Source organism: Homo sapiens, chromosome 5 (assembly GCF_000001405.40).
Source record: "Homo sapiens chromosome 5, GRCh38.p14 Primary Assembly".
In the NCBI taxonomy this organism is placed as follows: Eukaryota; Metazoa; Chordata; class Mammalia; order Primates; family Hominidae; genus Homo; species Homo sapiens.
This window is the reverse complement of record NC_000005.10, coordinates 92994346-93002533: the sequence shown is the minus strand read 5'-3', so window position 1 is coordinate 93002533 and position 8188 is coordinate 92994346. Positions and strand designations below refer to the sequence as shown.

The window sequence follows — 8188 nt, the reverse complement described above, 5'->3', positions numbered from 1 at the left end:
GTTGTCCACAAGGGATCAATATCATTTTCACTTTGGGAAGGGAAGAGGATCTAGATTTTCTTGAAATAATTTTTTACCCTTAATATTGGCCTGTCCATAGATGCTCCAGGAAAGATTTGCTCATGAGGCTTTTACTTCATGAATGACCTTAGAAATACCTTTCAAAGGAAGGTGCTTATTCTGATTAAGTTCACAATTCATGGGGACAAAAAGGATAATTATCAAACTTGCTTATTCTAATTTTCAAGATATTGTGCAGGAATTTAATTCCCCCACCTAGGCAAAAGTTGCTTTCATTGCATCATTTTCCTATTTCCTATTTTCCTATGAGCATGCAGCCATCCCGAATGGCCCTGCAACTCCTAGATAAACAGAGAAAACCAAATTCAACTGATAATTTGCTAGGGGAGGATTAGATTCAGAGCCCACTTAGCATGACTACATAAATTATGACTACGTGTATGACCTTGTAGTATCCTGATTTGAAAAGACAGAAAAAAAATCATATAATGTGTATTAAATGCCAAAATCTTTCCAAGGAAAGGGATAAAAAAACTACTACATTTTCTTCTCTCATAAACACAAGAGACCATTACCAGATATTCCGAATATCCTTGAGTCCTAGGCCATTCCTTTGGCATCTCTTCTCTATCTCTCCCTGATTCAGTGACAGTATTTCTCTGCAATTTCAAAGATTTGTAAATCTTTCCTAAGGAGCAGGTGACTACACTTTATTGGAACAGAGGCTTTTGCAATTCCAAAGAAAAAAATTCTCTTTGCTCCGTCCTCACCAACCTTTGTGTCTATTTGCGCTTGTAATTGGCAGCCGATGCTGATTCCCAGATGCTTTCTTTCTTTTCTTTTCTTTCTTTATTATTATTATTTTTTTTGGGACGGATTGTCGCTCTGTCGCCCAGGCTGGAGTGCAGTGGTGCGATCTCCTCTCATTGCAAGCTCCGCTCCCCGGGTTCACGCCATTCTCCTGCTTCAGCCTCCCGAGTAGCTGGGACTACAGGCGCCCACCACCACGCCCGGCTAATTTGTTTTTGTATTTTTAGTAGAGACGGGGTTTCACCGTGTTAGCCAGGATGGTCTGGATCTCCTGACCTTGTGATCCACCCGCCTCAGCCTCCCAAAGTGCTGGGATTACAGGCATGAGCCACTGCGACCGGCCCCCCCAGATGCTTTCTAAGGACTCTCACTGCATCTGGTTGATGATGGCTGTCATGTGACCACCTCATATAGTAATTTATTTGAAGATGCAAATAACCATGCCTCTTTCTTCTTCTTCTTCTTCTTCTTCTTCTTCCTCTTCCTCTTCTTCTTCTTCTTCTTCTTCTTCTTCTTCTTCTTCTTCTTCTTCTTCTTCTTTTCTTCTTTCTTCTTCTTCTTTCTTCTTCTTCTTCTTCTTCTTCTTCTTCTTCTTCTTCTTCTTCTTCTCCTTCTCCTTCTCCTTCTCCTTCTCCTTCTCCTTCTCCTTCCTCTTCCTCTTCCTCTTCCTCTTCCTCTTCTTCTTCTTCTTTTCGTGAGCTGGAATCTCACTCTGTCACCAGGCTGGAGTGCAGTGGCGTGATCTTGGCTCACTGTAACCTCCTCCTTCTGGGTTCAAGCGATTCTCCTGCCTCAGCTTCCTGATTAGCTGGGTAGCTGGGACTACAGGCATGCACCACCACACCCAGTGAATTTTTTTGTATTGTTAGTAGAGACCAGGTTTCACATGTTGGCCAGGATGGTCTCGATCTCCTGACCTCGTGATCCACCCGCCTCGGCCTCCCAAAGTGCTGGAATTACAGACCTGAGACACTGTGCCCGACCCCATGCTTCATTCTTACAGGCAGTCCAATTGTTTCCTGTGCTTTAGATGGCTATGTGTCACTAATTAGATGACACTGCCCATTACTAGGAGACACAGCTTAGCTTTTCAAAAGACTTTCCAGATGCCCGCTCTCCATTATGCAGCATGGTGGGTCAAGAGTCTGAGTTGTCATGGGTCTCATGATTCTCTTCAGCCTGGAAGGTGTGGTGAAGAAGATAAAGCCATGATGTCAAAGCTTTTGACACTCTTATATTCTCAAAATCTGAGGCCAAAATATAATGTGGATAATATTTTTAACAGTATTTCTGTGTATATGTATATTGCTATATTTTATCACTCTAGTTTCTTGGAGACTTCCCACCAGATAACACTTTGAGTTTTTGTGCTACAGGGGAATGGTGCATAATTTCTAGAACAAGAGGGTCTTTATTCAGAACTTATTGTACACTTACATTTTTATTTGAGAACATATCAAGAAAGCCAGCTTTTTAAGAAGAGATATAATTTTGAAAATTTCTTTAGTAAATCAAATCAGGCCTTTGGAATCCATATCATGAAGAATTCTCCATAATGTAGAAATTATATCTTTTTCTGGCTAGGATTCTAGACCACAAGCTTGGCTGCCCTAGAGTAAAAGGAAGACATGATAGAACTGAAATACTGCTCCTTATGGTCTGTAGAAATTACGGGGAAGGGAAAGGAGAGACACACAGAGGAAAAAAGGATGAAAAATCAAAGTTCTCCTTCTTAGCATCTTCCACCTTACCTTAATCAGAGTCTGGCTCCAAAGGAGGGAGCAGTTTTGGAAATTCAAGTATTAGAAGCTTTAGAACAAAGGAACTAACAGTGGGCTTTTACTGGCATACTAAAGGGGGTGTTACTACCCTCAAGGAGAAGCCTCAAAGCAGACCACTTCAAATGTGACACTGAGGGGGCAGAAAAGGGCTAGATTTATTAGCCTGGGACAATGTTATTCCTCCTCCATAGCATGTACACAGGAGATAGACTGTGTGCCTCAATAAGGGGAAATGGCTGCTGATATGGCTGGTGAGCCATCAGATCTTGGGGCAGAGTACAGAAGTGATCATATGTGGGGGATTTTGACACCACAGTGGTGGGTGGGTGCCAGCACATCATAATGGGACAGCCAGATGGCTGCAGTGGCTTTTTGAATGTCACCAGCCCAGGGAACAGCTAGTCCAACCTCTCTGCAGCCAGAGACTTCAAGAATCCAGAATGAACCACACACGTTGGAAAGCCCCTCTTATTGTCTAACCAGTGCAAGACAACATGCTACCTTATACACCAAGATACCCTTTCAGAGAGGAGCAGGGGTAGGGAGTAGAATTTTGTAAAATGTAATATTTTCTTTAGTTATCCAGGCAGAAAAGCAGTTACCTATAAAGGTTGTTTTAATCATTGGGCTGGACTAAAATTAATTGGACCAAATTGCAATCACCTCTAACCGTATCTCCATTACCTAGAAGAACAAGGAATTTTTAAGAAAGATTGGGTCAGTTATAGAAAAATAAAGGCATTTTCTTTGCACACTGGGATGTGAGTGTATTGGAGACTCTGTTCTTAACTATATTTTATCTTTGTCCAGATAATTAGGAAATGGGACAATCCAAAGAACTTTTTGTACTAACATTATGCATGTCTAGTGTTGCATAGTACAGAAAAGTCTCAGAACCATGGAGCAATAAGTATTGCTCCTCATTGCTCCATGGCTGATACTGTTTAAAAATTCTGATCTATTGATAGTTTCAGAGGGTCTGCAGTGACAGTGGACCCAGAATCTCATTTTAAAATAATCCCCGGGCAGTGAAGCAAGAAAGACCTGGTTTGAGTGTGAGTATAAATGAGCTGAAAAATTACATTTCCTCCACCTTAGGGAAGTACTCAGGCTGGGGGTGCCCAGCACTTGTCAGGGACACAGCAAATTCCATCTTCATTTTGATGGAGGAAATGAGAGATTAAACTGAACAGCTGATTTTTATCCCAGTCACTCCACAAACTGTCAGTGTTTGTTTGAGATCTCTTTCTAGTAGGCTGTTTATCACTCTGACTTTCTTTGTTCTCGGCTTTGATCTCAGTGGACCAGATTCTTGTTTTAAGTAACTCAAGGGGAATTCCAGGACAAGGGCAACATTCTCTGATTTGATGTTTGGAAGCACCAGTTTGGCTTTCTCCATCGTTCGTATTTGCTTCTCGGTGTGTCTCTCTCATTTTCTTTTTTCACTTTAGTTCGTTTTCAGAGTGCAGAGTATCAGAGAAACAAGAAGAAGATGGGTCTTCCATAGAGTTTCTCTTTTGGATTGATTTTTCAAAGAGCTGCCGAATAGCAATAAATGCCTTGCTCTGGTTCTGCCGCATGGGAGTTAGTCCAAAGAGAAGTGTTTATTTCCTTGGTGAAAAATAATATCCAAGCTGGTTCGTGAGCAGTGGTTACAAGTAAACAATCATATTAGCTGATTTTTGTGTTACCAAACCCTTTCTAGACATGTACATTTGATTGTTGTAAAATGTTTTAAAATCATTGTTAATTTTTGGAATGCTTATTATTGTTTTTAGATTACTCATAGGTTTCTGGTTGTTTTTGACATTGTATATGTATGCTTTCTGTACATATTCATAAATAATACCATAAGTGCTATTCTGTTTTGCAGATTCTCCCCGCTTGAAAGATATGTCCTTATACATGTGCTAAGGACTCATCTGCATCTGAATTTGTTATAAAGCAACTTAGAATCAATATCCTTTGGGGGTCTACAAAAGTGTTTTATGAACACATTTTTAATACATATCACACACATATACATATATATTTAAAATCAAATAAAAAGTGGATATATATCATATTTAAGATGGTTTGAGATAGCTAAAATGACAGAGCTGGAATTATAATAAGTCAGTGCAGTGCAATGATCAGAAGCATAGAAAGTCTTTCTCCATATAATTATTAATAAAAGGAACATGAAATTACTTTTACTTAATAAATGCAGTATATTTAGCATGAAAATAATCATCTGAAAGTAGAGAACGATAGAAAAAAGGTGGGAAAAAAATATTTTGTACTTGAAGCTTGAAAACATTAATTTGGGTGACAGTTGGATGCCATCTATTCTAGGAAACCTTCCTTCACTGCCCTGTGCATTCGAGTTGTGTCACTCTTTGGTTGAAAGCAATGCCGCTACTTTGATAACACCATCCTTTGGCTACAGTATAGTTAAACTCTTTTAATATGACCTTAAAATGGCCCATACTTAGAGCCAAAGCTATTGTCATTGTCTGCAGAAAAAAATAGAGGATGATAAAGAGACTGAAGAAGGTGTGTCTGTGTGAACATGGCAACTAATACAACCACAATAAACTGAGTTCGTTACCTACTATACTATAAAAATAATACTTTTATGTGGAACTAGTTGTCTCACATATATCTTTAAACCATGTGAGTCTGCTCATTATTATATGCAAAAAGCTTCATTCTTCATATATTACTAGCTTTATGTATGATCCTCTCCTCTTATGGTCTACATAAAAGAAAGATATAGAAAACCCTTCAACTAGCTGAAATCCTTAGAGAATTTCCAGTTGGAGGCATTTTCTATAAAGAGGGGAAAGAAAAACAACACTGGGAATAAGCCTTCTCTGGAAGTTGGACATTTTATCCCATGAGTGTACTTACTTCTCACTTGTGATGTGAAGACATCATTCTTTAGCCGCTGCCCTTTAAGAAATTATCAGTCCTTTATGAAAAGGAGTTTGTCCTCAGCAGGTACCTGTAATGCAGTCTTATTAAACTTACCACATCCTTACTGAATTTTCAAATCATATTTTACTAGTCAGTCAACTAAAAAGTTGGTGAATCTGTACAATTTATTATCTTTATGTCTCAGTTTACAAGTTAACACAGCACAACATAACATATTGATGGCAAAATGTAAAACGTCACATAAACAAAGACAAAAGGCAAACAGATGGAAGCTAAACACAAAGGAATATAGATATGGGGTACAGAAAATGTATTTTTTCTTATTTTCAGTTAGCAGTCTACATTATAAAATTTTTGGCAAGTATATAAATTTTGGGCCAGAGTTTTGAATGAGAGATGCAATTATTCAAACTAGTTTTCATAAATTAAGAAAATCTCACAGGAACTTTATAAAGTTTATTAATTTGGTGTCTTGACCTTAGAGAAGGTATGCTGATAATACCTGAACTCATTTCAGATAATTCAGCAAAGCCACATACCAGAAACTCTCAGAAAGAGGGTTAGTTCTGAGAAGACTGGATCATGGAAGGTGAACCTTAGATAATTACAACGTTCATATATTTCTGAATCCACCCAAATATTAACCTACATCACATGAAGAAATGATAGAACTTGACACTGAACTGTACAAATTTACTAAACCTGAAACCTGGAACTAAACCTATAATGTGCTGCTTTTACTATAACACAAATAAAAATAAATTGAAAATGGAGTCAAACAAAGATAGTGAATGAGCCTCAAAATATTCTTGAATTTTAAACCTAAATGAATTTAGAACCATGACCTTCAGATATGTAGCTAAGATAGGATTAAAAGGACTCCGACAGCCTGTTCTTTAGCCTTGAGATTTGGTTGGTATATGTTGCCAACAATTATGCATTTGGAGGATGATTTAAAAAGGCACATTTCAGAAAATCAATGCATTATTTGGAATCCTGAAGTATCAATTTAACACAATCTGTGCTTTAAACAACCCTATTTTCCCACTAAATACACTTTTTTTTCCTTTGCAGTATATGTGTATTATTTTCTCTCTTACCAAAGTATAAGCCCCCTTGAACCAGGGAAAATGGTCTACAGTGTTAGCTCTATTTCTCTGCACTTTCCCTTTCCAGAATCTAGATTCTGGGTTCTTTGTATATATTAGCTGCTTAACACATGTTTGTATGAAGGAACACTAGTAAGTAGAACTCCTGAGATCTAAGATATTTTCCGAAATATATAATTCTTCCTAATTTTTTTCAGAGATTAGCTTAGCAAGTTGAGTGAATGTAGCTACTAATGTTTTACAGTAATTTTAGAAATTTTACGGAAAATATAACTAGTGCATCTATGTGGAATGTGGTCAACTTCGTGGACGGAAATTTATTTAATTAACATTAATGATTTATTTAACTAACAAACAGTTGTTGAGTTAATAGGTTCCTAATAGGTACCACTCTAGATTGGATACTGGGGATAAAATTTAATGTTCATATTCCTCAAGGAGATTATTCTCTAGAACTCTGTTAAATATCCCTATGTATTAAGTACTGTTTAGGGTGCATTGACTATTTTTTTCTCATTTAATTATCATAGCAGTTTATGATCTCCATTTTACAGATATAGAAACTAATGCATAAAGATGTTAAGTAAATTGCCTTCCAAAAGCCAAAACCTCAACCAAGAGCTGTCTGTTTCTTAAATCCGTGCTTGCAAATATGGCCATTTGACATGATTTTATGGACATCAGAAACTTTATAAAAATAAATCAGTTTCAAACACTTAAATTTTGGCAGATTTCACAGAAAAGTAGAAATATTTGGATTCTCTTGAAAAAAAGAAAAACCGAAAATATGGCAACAGTAGGCCTACATTCCACATAGCAACAATTGGCTACAACTGAGTAGTAATGACCCATTTTACACTGGCAATTATCTTTCCAGTCTGATGTAGTTTTCCCCTGGCTGCTTCCACTTGTTTATGCTATTTGCATTATTCTCACAGGTATCTGAGTTTGAGATTTCTGCATTCTTCCATGTTTTCACATATTAATTTATTCCATTTAAGAAACAAACACACTAGGATCTAATTTAAGAGTGACATAGGAGATTAAAATGGTGGCTTTATTACTGACAGAGCTATTAAAAGATAAGTTCTGGGTATAGAGCAACACTGGACTTCCCATTCCAGACCTCCAATATTAGACCGCCTTACCCATGATGTAGAAAAAAAGACAGATTAGTGTAAAAAGGAGTCAAATAAAATATCTCTAAGTTAAAAACTAAATTTTTCAACATAAAAACTATATGGATGGATCTAGACATAGCTGAAGAGAAAGTTAGTGACCTGGATGGTAGATCTGAAGGAATCACCCAAAATGATGACTAAAGAGGTAAATAGGTAAATAATATGAAAGATGATTTAAGAGATGTGGAGTATGGATTATGAAGGTCCACTACATGTGCAGAGGAGTTTCATGTAGAGCAAAGGGGAAAAAATGGAGAAAGGAAACATTCAAAGTAATAAGTTCTGAAAATTTTCCATGAAAGAAAGAACATGCAAATCCATAATTTCTAGACACAGTGAATCCAAAACATGAAAAATGGAAATAAGT

General features: G+C 37.2%; 1 long non-coding RNA gene across 1 annotated transcript; it reads right to left on the bottom strand.

Annotated features, from left to right (window-relative positions):
- Positions 1-1942: 1942 nt before the first annotated feature.
- On the bottom strand, positions 1943-2752 carry LOC107986388 (uncharacterized). Its single transcript, XR_001742524.1, has 3 exons — positions 2583-2752; positions 2269-2441; positions 1943-2010 (listed from the first exon to the last, which is right to left on the bottom strand). It is a non-coding gene; the product is annotated as an uncharacterized LOC107986388 (long non-coding RNA).
- Between the last annotated feature and the right edge of the window lie 5436 nt (positions 2753-8188).